This window comes from Homo sapiens, chromosome 12 (assembly GCF_000001405.40).
Source record: "Homo sapiens chromosome 12, GRCh38.p14 Primary Assembly".
Classification (NCBI taxonomy): domain Eukaryota; kingdom Metazoa; phylum Chordata; class Mammalia; order Primates; family Hominidae; genus Homo; species Homo sapiens.
Window position 1 is genome coordinate 30869113 of NC_000012.12, and position 17015 is coordinate 30886127.

General features: G+C 46.4%; 1 long non-coding RNA gene across 3 annotated transcripts, besides 1 other annotated feature; it reads right to left on the bottom strand.

Annotated features, from left to right (window-relative positions):
- Positions 1-34: 34 nt before the first annotated feature.
- Positions 35-11277, bottom strand: LOC107984476 (uncharacterized). 3 transcript variants are annotated; one of them, XR_001749063.1, is made up of 4 exons: positions 10889-11277; positions 1452-1535; positions 270-357; positions 35-119 (listed from the first exon to the last, which is right to left on the bottom strand). It is a non-coding gene; the product is annotated as an uncharacterized LOC107984476 (long non-coding RNA). The 3 variants fall into 3 exon arrangements; XR_001749062.1 differs by having other exon boundaries at positions 42-119; positions 257-357; XR_007063260.1 differs by having other exon boundaries at positions 42-119; positions 257-1535.
- Positions 5563-6064: an enhancer, noted in NCBI's record as "H3K4me1 hESC enhancer chr12:31027609-31028110 (GRCh37/hg19 assembly coordinates)". NCBI's record gives its function as "activates a minimal SCP1, AML or CMV promoter by ChIP-STARR-seq in naive H9 embryonic stem cells {active_cell/tissue: H9 hESC(naive)}" and the evidence as "EXISTENCE:reporter gene assay evidence [ECO:0000049][PMID:30033119]".
- Positions 11278-17015: the final 5738 nt, after the last annotated feature.

Below are 17015 nucleotides of genomic sequence, written 5' to 3' on the forward strand. Positions count from 1 at the left end.
CCAGGCTGGTGTCAAGCTCCTGGGCTCAAGTGAACCTCCTGCCTTGGCCTCCCAAAGTGCTGGGATTACAGGCATGAGCCACCATACCCAGCCTTGTTTTCTTCTTGAAACCAGTTTTCCTGTTGAGAAGATGAATATCTGTTTGATTAATGTTCTTTCATGGGTTGCTTTTTCCCTTTGCTGTGCCTGCCCAGCCCCACTGCCCTCTAGGTTGAGGAGGAGAGGGGGGAAAAATCAAGGAGGATTTATCAATCACCTGTCCCTTTTACCTTCATTCCAGCCCAGCCTGGCTTCATCTCAGTCCTTAGATTAACCTCCCTCCTCTGCTGCCACTGGGTGGGGTCTGCAGTTTTCCACCTTGTGCAAAGCAATGGGTAATGGTCCATCCAGGGCAACAACAGAAGATAATATGACTACCTAGAAAGTCCCTCTTTCCCTCAGCCTATGCCCAGTCAGTGGCATCTGGCCTACCCACTTTGTATCATTTTCCTCTTCTTCCTCAACTGAGATCTAATTTCCTTTTGTCTCTGCTAAAATTCCTTGGCCTCCCACCAACCTCCCTCTGGTGCCTCCTGTATCTCTAGATTGGTTTTGGGATCAGGGTTCAGGATCTCTGCTGGTTGACCATTTCTTCTGAGAGTATGGTGGTTCCTTCCACCTGTTCATTTAATGTTCCTGCTCAGTTTTAGACCATCTCCATGCTTTCACCACCTCATCTCATATGTGAAGTCCCAAGTGGCTGCATTGGAAAGAAAAAGAAAGAGAAAGAAAGAAAGAAAGAAAGAGAGAGAGAGAAAGAAGGAAGGAAGGAAGGAAGGAAGGAAGGAAGGAAGGAAGGAAGGAAGGAAGGAAGAAAGAAAGAAAGAAAGAAAGAAAGAAAGAAAGAAAGAAAGAAAAAAGAAAGGAAGGAAGGAAGGAAGGAAGGAAGGGAAAGAAAGGAGGGAGGGAGGAAAGAAAGGAAGAAAGAGAGAAAGAGAAAGAGAGAAAGAAAGAGAGAGAGAGAGAAAGAGGGAGGGAGAGAGGGAGGGAGGAAGGAAGGGAGGGAGGGAGGGAGGAAGGGAGGAAGGAAGGAAGGAAGGAAGGAAGGAAGGAAGTCCTTCCCTGGAACTACAGATCAATGCAGATCACATGACCAAGCCATAAAGATGAATGGAAGGCCAAGCAGGCACAGGGTCCTCAGACTGTTCCCCAGGAGAGCCTTTCTCACCTCTCCCCTTGCAGCTCTCCAGCCCCATCAGCCTCCTGAGCCATCTCCTCCTTCCAGCTCTTCCTGTCTATGACAACCAGATCTCCCTCTCAGGAATCTCAGGTGTTGTACCTTGGGGTTGCATGCCTTGTGTGTAATCTTCTCGGCATTCTGTTCTTATTTTTGTCTTTCCCCAAGACAGTTATTTCAAAGTATTTTCATTTTGCACAAACAAGATGGTAAGTTCCTTGAGAGCCTATCTTACCCTGTGGTCAGCCAACATACTGGATAGCAGAATCACAGTCCTAGGTTCATCTCCACAGGCTGGAGTGCAGGTCCAACTTGCTTCCTGCAAGACAGAAAGTGAAACCAAATGAAAGCCAGGAGCCCCATCTGGTAGTGAGACCTACTGTGAGCTGCGCTGTCACATTGCAGCCCTATCCCTGCCACCAGCATCGACTCAGCCATGCCTGGCCTCTGCTCAAATCATCCTCTAATCTGGGCCTTTCACTTCAACCTGGGTCTTCTATGAGACCTTTAAGATCCCATGTCCCCTTACGACCACTTCTAAGGACATTTGGGGGCACTTGCCCCACAGGCTGCGAAAGAAGCTTCAGCACTCTTGAAGCTTTGCAGTCTATTCCAAACTCCTCTGTCTATAAGCAAAAATTCCTGCTCCTTTAATGCCCTCACTACCCGTCAAGAGCATTCTCTACCCCTCCTTGTTGCTGCCAGGCTACGACCTACTTACTGCTCACCTTCAATCTCTCTTGGTTCCTTCCCACGTATGTAAATATGCTCAAGCCTCAGTCAGCTCCTCTGATGCCACCCATGTCTCACTTTCTCTAGAGAGACAAGCTTCTTCAAAGAGCAGACTGTAAACTTTGCCATTCACTCATCTCCCATTCACTTTACAACCCTTGGCTCAGACTCTCCAGGGAAATAGTTTGGGCCAATGTCTCTGGAAGTGACCTTCTACTTTGATAATTTAACTGACATTTTTTACAGCCATTATCTTGTTTGACTGCAGTACATCTCTCTCCATCTCTCTGTGTCTTTTTTTTTTTTTTTTTTTTTTTTGGAGACAAGGTCTCACTCTGTTGCCCAAGCTGGAGGACAGTGGTGCAATCACAACTCACTGCAGCCTTGGCCTCCCTGGCTCAAGTGATCCTCCTGGCCTCCCAAGTAGCTAGTACTATAGACATGCGCTGTCACACCTGGTTAAATTTTTATTTTTTGTAGACATGGGGTCTCTCTCTGTTGTGCAGGCTGGTCTTGAACTCCTGGGCTCAAGTGATCCTTCTGCCTCCCACTCCATCTTTTCTTGATCTCTGGGATGCCATCCTCTGGTGGTTTTTAAGCCCTCCAGGCCCCTCCCTCCATTAACCCTGAAACAGGAGTGTCCCCAAGTCCAAAACTTGGTCTGCCCCTTCTGACTCCTTGATCCCGACTTCCCAAGCTCCCCATCATGGTGAATGACATCACTGGCCTCCCATACTTGGAGGCCTCTGCCTTCTGGAGGCCTTTCTGAGTCTGCTCTACCTTAAGCCCCATATTCAAGTGGTCCCCAAGTGCTAGCGACTCCAGCTTGGTGCCCTCTCTGCTATTGGGCTCTCTCTCTGTGCCCACTGTCACTGCTTTGGATCAGGCCCTCACCCTGGTCAAGCAGAACCACTGATGTCCCTTCCCTATTGGTCTCAGTCTTGTCTCCTCCCAACTCATTCTCTGAAATGCAAGCAAAAGGGTATTTCTGAAACAAAAATCTCTGCCACTGTCTTTTTGAGGTTACCCATTGACTTCAAAATCAAGTCTAAATTCCCTAGCATGTCACATAAGGCCCTGAAGGATCCGGACACTCCTTGTCTCTAAAGCCACAAGTCTCTCTGGCTAACTCATCTCATTTCTCCAGAGTCTGACAGCCCCACCTTCAGGGCACCCACCCTGCACTGCCCCAGCTTCTGGCTAGGAGCTCTTCCCTTACACTCCATGAGGCCCCCTGGGCTCAGTGATCTCTACCCCTGCTGATGCTGTATTAGATTGCCCCTCACCAGGCCACTAGGCTATATACTCCTTGTCTTTTGCTTCTGTGTTTCCAGCAACTGTCATAGTGCCTGGGCCTTAGCAATTGCTCCAGAAATGTTGGATGGATGGATGGAGGGATGGATGGATGGATGGATGGATGGGTGAATGTTCTACTCTGTGGTCTCAAGCCCTGCCTCAAGTATATTATGGTTAGTTCTTGGAGTCAAACAAACTAGAAAGGTTTAGATAATGTCAAACAGTGCAATTAAGTGGCTTGAAACTATGTCGCTTGACAAGTTTAAAAGGGGTAGAGAATAGGGTAAGGGAAAAGGACTTAATATTTATAGGATAGCTACTTATGACATCTTATTAGGCATTTTTAAAGATGTTATCTCATTTAACCACCATAAGAATACCCTGAATCAATATTATCTTCATTTTGTAGATCTGGAAATAAGGCATGAAAATACAAACTTGGCTGAGGTTATGCAGCTAAGTGGCAAAGCCCAAATTTAAGCACAGGTCCCTGTCTGATTCCAAAACCCATGCTCTTTCTACTACCTTATGCCAAAGTTCTGCTCAGACCACCATGAAGGTTGACAGACAGGGGGAGGAGGCAAAGGGACCAGTGACAAGACTAATGGGATGTCCTAGTAAGAGTTCGAAATCTCAACAGGACAATGGCAGTGGGACTCTGAGACAGACAGAGTTTATGGGCTGCTATGAGGCAGCATTACCCAGGTCAATGTCCAGTTGGATGTGAAGGACAGAGAAGGAAGGGTGAGAGTGAATTTTGGGGCAACTGGACAGATGAAGGTGCCATTTCAAAGAGATTTGTTTTCCATGCACTCTGCAGGGTCATTACAGGGAGTCAGATTTCTGCTCTCTACAAAGAAGGACTTTCTGGTCAGAATAAAAGAGATGCCTGTAGAAGTAGAGGGAGATAGCACCAACTCATCACACCTTGGCTGGGACAGTGGACAGCAGGGTGCAGGCTCCAGAAGGTGAGTGATAGAGCAGATAGGCCTCCACAGGCATGGCCTTCAAGCCCGTGGCTCTGATTCACTCAAATAGTATTGAATGAGTAGCAAAAGCAATGCTTTTTCTTTAGCTTTTTCTCAAGGTGACAAGAATGGGGTTTTTTAAGAATGGTTTGAGAGGATGGATTTAAAAGTTGAACTTTTAAAAAGATTTACCAGGCTGGGTGTGGTGGCTCATGCCTGTAATCCCAGCACTTTGGGAGGCTGAGGTGGGTGGATCACTTGAGATCAGGAGTTCGAGACCAGCCTGGCCAACATGGTGAAACCCTGTCTCTACTAAAAATACAAAAATTAGCTGGGCGTGATGGCAGGCACCTGTTATACAGCTACTTGGAAGGCTGGGGCAGGAGAATCACATGAACCTGGGAGGCAGAGGTTGCAGTGAGCCGATATCGCATCACTGCACTCCAGCCTGAGTGACAGAGGAGATCCTGCCACACACACACAAAAAAAAAGATTTACCAAATAGGTAAATCTGCCATGGCTTTTTTCCCCTTCACAGCCACTGTCTGTTTGGTACTAACACCAGCTTTTAGCTTAGAAGGAAACACATGAACTTTCATATTAACTTCCTTTAAATTCAGTAGTACTCTCTGTATGATCAAATAAACTTATTTGGTTAAAATGGAATGTTTTTGGTACAGATTTTTTTTAAGCAATCAGATTTCCCCTTTTCACTGCTTTGCACTTCGATGGTCTGATGTCTGGATCCATAGACAGTCTGATTGTCCCCAGGGCCCCTCATCAGTTTGGTCTTAGGAAATAGCAAGTGGCCAGTTTCCAGTTCAGACAACCAGGGAGCTCTACCCCAGCTTTCCTTGTTTATTACCAAGATCAGCCCTTGCAGTTCCAGAGAGGCAGTTTCCCTGAAATAGTGGGACATTTATACAGTGGCTCTTGTGGGACTGCAGCTTTTGCCAGCTGAAATGGTTGATAAAAGGGAGAATGGCAGTGGCTGGGACCCCAAAGCCATAGCCCAGCCACCTGACACCTCAGAGGCTTGTGGGAAATATTGAAGCACCAAAGAAAAGCTAGACTTAGAAATGAGCTTGGGATCATTTCACAGGTGAGGAAACTGAGGCCCAAAGAGCTGAAGGAAATGTGGGCTGCTGGGCTGCTCCGTACCTCCAGGTGGACATGCACCCCTTCCAAAGTCCCAGATCAGAGTCTTCTCCCCACAGCCCCACCCCACTCACTGCCCCCAGCAACTGGAAGCCTTTGTGTGGGCTGCCCTGGGAAAAACTGAGGAGGGAAGTTGTGCAGGCCTGAGCTGGAGCCCACCCCCATGGCAGGCCGGCAGTGTGGCTGTGTGTTTGTTTCCCTGCAGAGGCACAGAGACACCTTGCAATCCCACCTCAGCAGCCGCCTTTGCCTCAATCTCCTTGGTCATTGCACTGAGTTATTCATGAGGTTAATGATTCTGCTTTCATATAAGTCAGCCTGACAACCTGCTCTTTGAAGCATTAAAAGAAAACAAACAAACAAAAAATGCTGTAATTAAATACTGTGTCTTCAAAGTGCCTCTTTCCCTGAGATGGCAGTTAAGCTGGAGGGGAGCCAGGATGAAAGTTCAAACGCAAGTCCTTTTTGTCCCCAGGGGCACATTTCAGGCTCTTGTGCCTCAATGTTTTCCAAAGTGGCCAAAACAACAGAACCTGGGCAATGGGGTAGGAAAACTCCATATCTTTTATATCCAGCCCAGACCAGTTAACGTGACAAATTGGCGGGAGCCTGGCCTCCTGTGGGCCCTGGTGCCTGCTTCCTGAGGACCAGGGATCTAAGCAAACAGAGGCGAGCTCATGGATCCTCCCAGGCAGGGAGGGGAGGGCTGGAGATCACGTTAATCTGCTGCTGCCGCTGCTGCTGCGGCCAAGTAAGGCCCAAACTCAACTTGGAAGATGTCCTCTCCTGGAGGGAAGCCTGGGCCATGGCTAGCAGGATTGTCTTTCTTTCCTTCTTCCTTACCAGAGAGGCTGCCAAAGCCAGACGCAAGACCTGACAGACTCAGTGCAGAAATAAATGTCTCCTCCTAGATGCTGACAGTCTGTGGAGATGGACATGTGCCTTTCCCCATCTGTTTTTAAATATGTATTTTTAAGCTAAATTTAAGACATGGAGGAGGAGGAGTGGAAAGGCTCTCTATTGGTAAGATAAGGAGAATGTCTTCCATCCCCGTCCATTCCAAAACACAGTCACAATATCTCATCCTCACGATGGAATAACTGCTATTCAATATAATTTTTGAATCAGTCATTTTGAGCATTATTATTTCAGCTTTATTAATAAGGTGTGTGCAGTAGATGCTACACTCCCAGCCCCGGGGTTTCCCCCCTCCCTACTGAGCTGCACTCCAACAGCACTGAAGTAGCCCCATCCTAAGCACCCTGTGAAGTAGCTGAGGACCAAGCAGGTGAGCTGAGACTCATGGTCCCATCCACAGAAACTGACTCTGTTCCCCTTACGAGAATAAATAGAATGCATTGGAGGAAATCAGGCTGCTCCCAGACCTGACAAGAAGGCATGGAAGAAAGCAAGCAAGTTCATGCCGCAGGAAGGGATCTGGACAGCATAGTGACCACCACTCCTGTCATTGTCAGTGCAACCCCCCACCCCACTACCTCTACTGGAATCACTCTCAATTGGGCCTGCATCTTTGCATTATTCTTAAGACTTGAAGACCTAGGCATGAGCACCTCACTCCCTCTCTGCCAGGAGTCAGTCATAGCATCTGGCTTTTTTAGCTTCCCAGTGGGAGGCAGACCCTGCCATGGAAGCTCACACAGTAGTGGATCACCAACACGGAAGGGGGTTCATAGGCTGTGCAGCCAAAACAAACAAAAGACAGCCACACAGTAGGTCAACTGTTATCCCCATTTTACAGATGAGGAGACTGAAGCCCACAGCTTCATTATATTAAGTGACTTGCTCAGTGTCACACAGCCACTAAGAAATGTCACGCCTCTCATGGGTCGCTGTGCTTTGCTCATCAAATCAGGACAAGCTATATGGAGAGAGAGAGAGCTTCGTTTGCAGCCTTGCTTTGATAGGTGCCACCCACCTCTGAATCTGAAGACGGTGCCCTCTAGGTTGAGAATATCCAATACAAAGCAGGTGTTTCCATGCTGACAGATGGTTCAGTACAGCCAGGCTCAGCCTTTCCCCCTCTCTCCCCATTCCTGTGATCTTTCTCTGGCTCCCTCTGGCCCCATCACCAAAGTATCCACAGCACAATGAGGTTAGGGAACTGAGCAACCTTCTGGCTGGGGAGCTGTACGAGGCCGAGCAATGGACAAGTTGGGAGGGGGCAGGAGCCTTGTGCTAAGGTGGGGGGGCTTCATTTAACCAGAGGCTGCTGGGAGCTTGGAAGGGTTTTCAGCAGGGGAGTAACCTTTTAGGAAGTGGGAGAATGGATAGGAGGGAATAAAGAGTGGATGTGAAGAGGCTTATCAATAGGCTTCTGGTAGGCAAGGGGTCATAGTGCAGATGGAGAAAAGTGAGCGAGTCAAATACTAAACAGGTGGAATTCAAGGTATCGGTGATTGATTAGACACAAGGTGGGTAGGGAGGGGGCAAAGGGGAAAAGTCAAGCTGCTTGGACAGCTGAGAGCTCTAAGAGAGACAACCCTAGTAGATAAACAGGTAAAAGAAAGTGTGATGCTTCTGGAGTTGAGGGCTCAGGAAGGATGTCTGGAAATGGAAAGGTCAAATACAGCCTCTTGCTTCGTCAGTGTGGATCACTCCCTTTCCTGCCTCTCTGTTCCTCCAGCTGAAAGCTGTGGCCAGTCAGCTTCTGACTTCATCACCAGGTGTTACAAAGCAAGTTAACTGAGCAAGGAGGAAGCCCCTGGCAGGTAGCAGAACAAAGCCAGGAGACCTGGGCTCTCCCATTGGTTCAGCTGCAAACTAATTCAGTGGCCTTGAGCAAATCTGGGTCTTGGTTTGCTGGCCATCACTAACATTCCAGGGGTTTATGAATGAAATGTGAGGAGGTGAACTGCTACGTAAATGTTTACTGTTAATAACCAACCATACACAAAACACCTGTGAATCACCTGGGCAACACAACGGTTTTAAAAATCTTAAGTGGCTCTTGTTCTTCTGATTCATCAGGTTCTACGCATTTAACTTCCAGAACAAATTTAGCCCTCAAAATATCTTGGTACATTTTCTACCCATCTCTTACCCTTTAAATCCTCCATTGTTTAAATGACACGTCACCATTTCTGCACACCTGTTACCCAGCACACCCTCATCCTTTTCCTCTTGAAGCAACCAGCCCAGCCCCACCCACGCTTTCTCCAGAGGAGACAAAAGGCACTGGAGACTCTGCCTTGCTGGGTCTGCTCCAGCCATGTCCTAAAAGAGAAACCGGCAGAGCAACTCAGGCAGGGGCAGGGAAAGCAGGGCAGGGGAGTGGGAGAGAGGGGAAGTTAGCAGTCAGTGAATAGGTGCAAGGTAAGGTTGGCAATTAAAATAATTTCCACCTACATACACGGCAGCTTTGAAGGCACAGGATGGGGGAAGATTGCCACAGGATGCCAACTGCGGCATCCATTTTAAGACTTTCTGTTCACTGGCATCAGCAGCCATTGGGTGGACCAGCTTGGAATCTTAGCCCATTCTATCGCTTATATGGACCATTATCTGCTCTAAGTATGACTAGAACCAAGGCTGGCACTGTCCTGCCAGAAGCATTTTCCTTAGCCACTCTCAGTTCATGGTCACTTAAAAAAAAAAAAAAAGAGCAAAAATTGCCTCTGAAATATCTAGCAATTCCCTTAAATGCAGGGCTTAGAATAAGCTATGAAGTTTGCTTAAGAAAGGGCTGAAGAGCCTTTCAAAGTGTTTGCACTTGAGAAATGGAAAACTCAGAAATGTTTGCCTCCTCTGGCAGCCTCAGCTATGGGCTCTTCTGCAGTTGGCTGGGGCTTAGATGGGAAATTCTTTCAGAGCAACAGGTGCCACCATCGTGAAAGCTAATAAGAATGATAGAAAATGTTTATTGAGCACTTACTATGTGCCAGGAACTGTTCTAAGCATCTGCATGCGTTAACTCATTTACTCCTCACAACAACTGCATGAAGTAGCAACCATTATTTTTCTTCATTTTACAGGTAGGGAAATCCAGGTACAAAGAGGCTAAATATCTGGCCCCAAGTTCCCCAGCTGGTAAGCAGCAGAGCTGGGATGTGAAACCAGGCAGGTGGCTTCAAATAAGGCCTCTCTGAAGATAAAGCACATCCAAAGTTACTCAAGGAAAAACAAGTTGAGTAGGTGAGATTTTGATCTCTTATTCTTCTTCTCTTGCCAGGTGCCATTCTAAGCCCCTTCAGTGATGAGAAGAATAATTCTCGAAGCCTCACTAGAGAGATGTGTGAGTGACAATATGGAACGAAGGCCTGATGGTGAAGTTTCAGAAACTAGTTCCTGAGAGTGGTTCATATGTTAAGCTGAGGTGAAATTACCAACCCCCTTTAAATTATGTCATGCTACTTCGATGATACATAAAGTTTCTCCTACTCTGCCCAGCTCCTCTTCCTCACCCTCCCTAAACATTTATAACATCAAAATGAGATGCTCTGGAAGCCCTTTCAAAGCTACTTCCAGCTGGGTGCGCTGGGTCACGTTTGTAATCCTAATACTTTGGGAGGCCAAGGCGTGCGGATCACTTGAGGTAAGGAGTTCAGGACCAGTCTGGCCAACATGGCAAAACCCTGTCTCTACTGAAAATACAAAAATTAGCCAAGTGTGGTGGCGCTTGCCTGTAGTCCCAGCTACTTGAGAGGCTGAGGCATGAGAATCCCTTGAACCAGGGAAGTGGAGACTGCAGTGAGCTGAGATTGCACCACTGCACTCCAGCCTGGGTGACAGAGCAAGACTCCATCACAAAAAAAAAAAAAAAAAAAAAGCTACTTCCAAAACCTGAGGGTTTTTATTCTTTTGTGAATAACACGAGAACTGGACATGTCTCTGCATTCCCGGCAATTTCTTGAATTAGCTCATATTGAGTGACTAGCTTTTATGAAAGTTAATTCCTTGAGCTTAACCTCCGAGAATCTGCCAAAAATCTCCCAGACAAGGTGAAGACAAGACTCATCCTCTCGCCCCATCCCTATGTTGCTCTTTGATATTTGATTGTTACACCAGCTAATTCTAATAGGATAGACTTGAAATCCTTTCCCCCCAGTAAACCTCTATGCTGCAAGGAAGAGACTCCAAGATCTATGTACTCCACGTCTCTCATTCAAACATCCTTGGTTTATAAATCTCCTAGACCTCTCTACTCCATTATATGCCTCTGCCCAGGTACCTAATGGAAGCCACTGAAAACCTGAAAAACTCTGGCTTCAGATCCATGTAACAGTTCCCTTGAAAAGGCTCCTTTTGCTAAAGAACTGGAAGTATCCCCTTCTCCATACCCAGCACATTGGTTTATCATTATTATTTGCCACCAGAAATCTCACAGGCTGTTTGTTCTCTGCCCAAATTCATATTCCAGTTATTTGTTCTCAGGGCCAGCCCACCCTGCACCTGAGAAAAGGGGCTGAAACCTGCAGGGGCTCAATCTCTCTCCAGGCAATTTCCAGTCTCTCCAGACCTGGGTTCCCATTACAATGCTTCCCCCTGACATTCTCTTTACCTCAAACAGCACAACTTGTTTTTCTTTCTCCGGTGTCTGCTCCCTCCTGATGCAGGATCCACTTAAGTCTTTCTGAAACTGACACCAGGATCAAGGGAGGAAAAACCAGGCAGCACAAAGCCTTTGGCAGGCTCCTGCAGCAAGTTCTGTGCTGCCTGCTCCTCCTGAAAATCCTCTCTCAGCTCTTTCCAGATGTGCCCCAGACTCTCACGAGCACATTTCTCTCAAACAGCCCATCAATCACTCCATGAGTGTTTACTTAGTGCCCGCTTCATGCGAGACATTGTCCTCTACGCCCGGGAGCATGCCTCCATGTGGGAGAATTGATTCCTGCCTTCCAGACCTCATGGCCTCTGCAAGGAAACACGACATCAGCCAAAGAAAATACAAAGCCTGGAGAACTCTTTCCAAATCAGAGGCACAGACTCTGCTAGCTGAAGAAGCTGAAGATTAGAATTAAACCTTGAGGAGTAGGTAGGAGAAAGGGAGGGGGAACGATGCTCTTGATAGAAGAGCAAGTGAGCAAAGACACAAACATATTTGGGGGCAGTAAGTTTATGACCTGGGCAGGCCGAGGAGACTTTTTTTTTTTTTGAGACAGGATCTTGCTCCATTGTCCAGGCTGGAGTGCAGTGGCACCGTCTCGGCTCACTGCACCCCCCTCCTCCCCGGGTTCAAGTGATTCTTATGCCTCAGCCTCCCGAGTAGCTGGAACTATAGGCACGTGCACCACACCCAGCTAATTTTTGAATTTTTAGTAGAGATAGGGTTTCACCATGCTGCCTAGGCTAGTCTCAAACTCCTAACCTCAAGTGATCCAACTGCCTCAGCCTCTCAAAGTACTAGGATCACAGGCGTGAGCCACCACGCCCAGCTCTGAGGAAATTTTTGAATGCTGCGCTGGAAAGGTGTCTCATAGACACTGCCATCCCTTGTTGAAGCTAACCTCTCTTCAAAAAAATGGAAATAAAATAAGGGGTAGAGGGGGCAGGGCTTCCCACCAACAGGCATGGCCCTGGTGGTGCTTCTGCCTGGGAAGGTCCAGCTAGACCAGGTGACCCTTCACTAGCAGTTCTAGCCCAAAGCTATGGTCCCAGTCCTGGGAAGGAGAGCCCTGTGACTTCCCCCAGTCTGCACTTACTCCACAAATTCCTCTGGAAAGAGCACCAGCCTGGGAATCAGGGGACCTGGTTCCTGACCCAGCATTTTCACTAACTAGATGGCAAGCCACACAGCCTCATGAGCCTCCATGTCTGCACATGTACAATGACAATGAAGAGTTTGGAGAAGATGTACTAAGTCCTTTCTAGCTCTTAGGTGTTATTTTGCAATCATTTCTGTAGCCCACCTTCCATCATCCATTATTCAATGGGTCTCATGGGAGATCTTATTTTTCAGTTCCTGGGGTATTGTGATATGGCGAAATATATATATTTGGTCTTTATCCAGTTTCCTGGCATACAACTCCAAGTCTCCATAGTGATGTCTTTTTGTATGCCAAGGAGTTGACTGGTGGCTGACAGCCCCTAAGTAGCTTCAGAATGGGGGGTGGTCATCAAGACCCAGGCTGGATGAGAGGATTGGGACTTTCAGCCCCATTCCCCAGCCTCCAGAGAAAGGAGAGGAGCTGAAGGTTAAGTTGATCACCAATGACCAATGATTTAATCAGTCATGCCTACATAATAAAGCCTCTATAAACACCCAAAAGGACTTCCATACCAACCCCAACAGGGTTTGAAGAGCTTCCAGATAGCTGAACACGTGAAGATTCCTGGAGGGTGGCACCCAAGGAGGGCATCGAAGCTCCACACCCCTGCCCACCTGCCATTCGCTAGCATCTCTTCATCTGTACCCTTTGTAATAGACTTTACAATAAACTCAGTATTTCCCTGAGCTCTGTGAGCCACTCTAGCAAACTAACTGCACACAAGGAGTGGGCTGTGGGAACCCTGATCTATAGCCAGTGGGTCAGAAGCACAGGTAAAACAACCTGGAACTTGTGATTGGCATCGGAAGTGGGGGACATTCTCATAGGACTGAGCCGTCACCTGTGGGCTCTGATGCTAGCTCCAGGTAGATAGTGTTGGAATTGAACTAAAGTGGAGGACACCCAGCTGGTGTTCGCTGCTGGAAGATTGCTTGCTGGCTGGTGGGAAGAAACTCCACCCCGCAAACACATGTCTGGTGTCAGAAGTACTGTGTGACTGCGCTGGGAGGGTGCAGTAGGAAGAAACTGGGCTCGTTACTCCTGTATGCTCTGAAGGTATGATCCTTTTTGCCAGCTTTCTTCCTCTGCCTGCTATTTCCTGGCTGTCATCTTTTTCAAAATTTGCTTTTAAATATGAAAAGACTCATATTTATTATAGAAAATTTGGAAAATACAGGAAACACAGAGACAATATGGAAATCATCTATAATTCAATCATTCAAAGACAACCACCATTAACTATTTGACCTATATCTTTCTCATAGACAGTTGTCCCTCAGTAGCCTGAGGGGAACTGGTTCCAGGACCCCTGTGCATACCAAAATCTGTGGATGCTCAAGTCCCTTATATAAAATGGTGTAGTATTTGCATATAACCTACATGTGCCCTCCTGTATACTTTAAATCATCTCTAGATTACAATATAATGTAAATGCTATGTAAATAGTTATACTGTCTTTTTTATTTCTATTATTTTGTATTGTATTGTGTTTTTTTCTGAATAGTCATTTACTGCATAATGACATTTTGGTCAATGACAAACTGCATATGTAACGATGGTTCCATAAGATTATAATGCAGCTGAAAATTTCTGGTCACCTAGTAACATCATAGCTCTCATAACATTGTAGGGCAGTACATTACTCATGTGTTTGTGGTGGTCCTTTCAGAGGTATTCCAGAAGGAGGCATTGTTATCATAGGAGATGACAGCTCAATGCATGTTATTGCTTCTAAAGACCTTCCAATGGGACAAGACGTGGAGGTGGAAGACGGTGATGTTGATTATCCTGAGCTTGTATAAGCCTAAGCTAATGTGTGATTTGTATCTTTGTTTTTAATAATAAGGTTTAAGAAGTCAAAATTAAAATTAAAGAATTAAAGAATAGAAAAAGCTTATATTAATAGAATAAGAAACAAAGAAAGTATTTTGTAGAGCTGTAAAATATATTTGTGTTTTAAGCTAAGTGTTATTACAAAAAAGTCAAAAAGTTTTTTAAAATTTTAAAGTTTATAAACTAAAGTTACAGTAGGCTAAGGGTAATTTATTATTGAAGGAAGAATAACTTTTAGAAATAAACAGTGCAGCCTAAGTCTACAGTGTTTACAAAGCCTACTGTAGCATACAGCAATGTCCTAGGCCTTCACGTTCACTCACCACTCACTCACTGACTCACCCAGAGCAATTTCAGTCCTGCAAGCTCCATTCATGAAAAGTACCCTATACACGTATACCACTTTGTATCTTTTATATTGTATTTTTATTTCACCTTTTCTGTGTTTAGATACACAAATACTTACCATGGTGTTACAACTGCCTACAATGTTCAATACAGTCACATACTTTACAGTTTTGTAGCCTAGGAGCAATAGGCTATCCCACATAGCCTAGGTGTGGAGTAGGCTCTACCATCTAGGTTTGTGTAAGCACATTCTGATGTTTGCACAATGATGAAATTGTCTAACAATGCATTTCTCAGAATGTATCCCTATTGTTAAGTAATGCATGACTGTATATTCCATCCTCAGTTGGTTGCATCCATGGATGCAGAACCCATGGATACAGAGGGCCAACTGTACATACATACTGTCTTAGTCCATTTTCTGTTGCTATAACTGAATACCTGATACCAGGTAATTTATCAAGAAAAGACATTTATTTCTTAAGTTCTGGAGGCTGGGGAGTCTAACGTGAAGGTGCCAGCATCTGGTGAGAGCCTACTTCCTGCATTATAATGACAGAAGTCATTATGTGGCAAGAAGGCAAGAGCATGCCAGTTCAGATCTCCCTTCTCTTATAAAGCCACCAGTCCCATCATGGGCCCACCCTGATGACTTTATCTCATCCTAGTTACCTCCCAAAGGCCCCACCTCTAAATACCATCAACATATGAATTTGGCGATTAAAGTTTCCAAAACATTGAAACCATAGCACATGCTTTTAGTTTTAGCCAAGTTAGTACCATACAGCACATAAATTATATATTGTTGACAATTCCACTTCCTGTATGGACAGACTAGGTTGGTTTTGGACCAACCCTCCCCGAGAACTAGAAAAGCTGGATAACATATAACAAAATATGTTTGAAGGCTTCTGAAAAATGGTCAAAGCAATGAAACTTTGTGGTGTTACAATCTGAAAGAGGAAGGAAATCAAGAGAAATGAACCTGGAATTTGGGGCCTCTCTGCCCCTCAAAGCAACAGGTAGATTCCATAAGCAAGAAGAGTGACAGGGGACTGATAAATCAATGAGCTTTCAGCCGTCTGGTGAGGCAATGTAACCAAAATGGAGGTCAGGATTCACTCGGGAGGAGGGATCCTGGTAACACCCCAGGAATTCTGCTGGGACCCCAAAGGCCTGTGCTCTAGTTATAAGAGTAAATCCACCCTCACAAAGAATGAAGCCAAGCTTCAAATCATGTCAATTCAATCTAACCTTTGACTAGCTAACAGCCAGAAGCAAACCTTCCTCTGATGGAAGATAACATCACATAAAACCTCAAATTATCCCTACATTTTTCAAACACTGTTTCACCCTTAAAAAGGTAGATAATAGAGAAGGCTAGAGAGCTGTCTTTACTGGGGAAATAGCTGTGGCAGATCATTGCACCATAGAATGTGATTAGAAAAGCAGATCAATATGCAAGAGCCATAGTTAAAGGCATCACAGAGCCTAGGAGCCAATGAAGACTATACAGGATCAGATTCTGGGGAGGGGAATCTGCAGAGAGGAAGCTGGCGATCTCTGTCAATTCTGTGAATAGGTAAAAAGCTGAGAAACTTTGCCCAGGCAGTGAGTCACTCCCAGGTGATTGAGAAACCATCAGAGCTTCAGAAGTCTTACGAGGTGTAATTGATTAAAATTGGAGACTTGAGGACTCTCAAAAATGTGGTTTGTTTTGCCTCAATAAGTTGGCTAAATTCTGTAACTGTACAAGGAATATGGCTAAAATTTCAAGCAGAGAATTTTGGGCAGTTTTATGGTGTTGAGGAGAGAAAGATTAGAATTTAGGGCCTGCCCGGGGAACATGTCTCAGTGAACATTTCAGAGAATCAATTAGAAACCCTGGAGGTCTATGCCCCAGGATCAGGAGCTAACCAGAGGCAACAAGCTGCACTGGAACCAGAACGACTTCATCCACCCTCCCAGTTGCTGCTACACCCTGCCTCTCAGGCCCTGAGCTGAAGCAGCACCCATCTCCCAGGGCATCAATGCCTTGGCTACCCAGAGCAGTCACACTCCCTGGTGCTGGAGCTGAAGTGGCACTGTGTCTTCCAGGGAATTCTTGCCTTGGCTACTCAGGGTAGTCACACCCCCAGCACCTGAGCTGAAGTAATGCCCTACCTCCCAGGGAATCAGTGCCTTGGATGAGCCTGGCAGCTGTACATCCCAGGGCTGAATTGACATGGCACCTTGCATCCCAAGAAAACAGCATTGAGTGAGCTGAGACCACCTACCAGGCCAAACAACTGTAGAACCTTGTCTTCTTGGAACTGGACTACCTCTCGCCCTTGACACCACAAGATTCTGAGCTGCTGAGGCACCCTGCCTCCTTGGAAAGTGGAGCCATTGCTGTGCTGCTCCATGTCCCCTGGGGCCCAAGCCACAGCTGAACTCTGCCATTCCTGGTCCTTGCTGTCTCATGGAGCCAGGGACACGGCTATGTTGTCTCATCATCCCTGGGTCCAGAGTCACCACTACACAGTGCCTTATCGTCCAGGACCTGAGTTACTGCTGTGCCCTATTGGCTCCATTTCCCAAATTATAGCTGTTCTCTGCTCATGGACCTGAATCTCCAGAGCACCCCTTCTCCCCTGGAGCTGAGCCAGTGCTGTGCCCTGCCCTTCAGGGTCGGAGTCAGAGCTACCATCCAGCCTAATGAGCCCGAGCTGCTGGAGTGTACCTCAAAGCCACAGACAC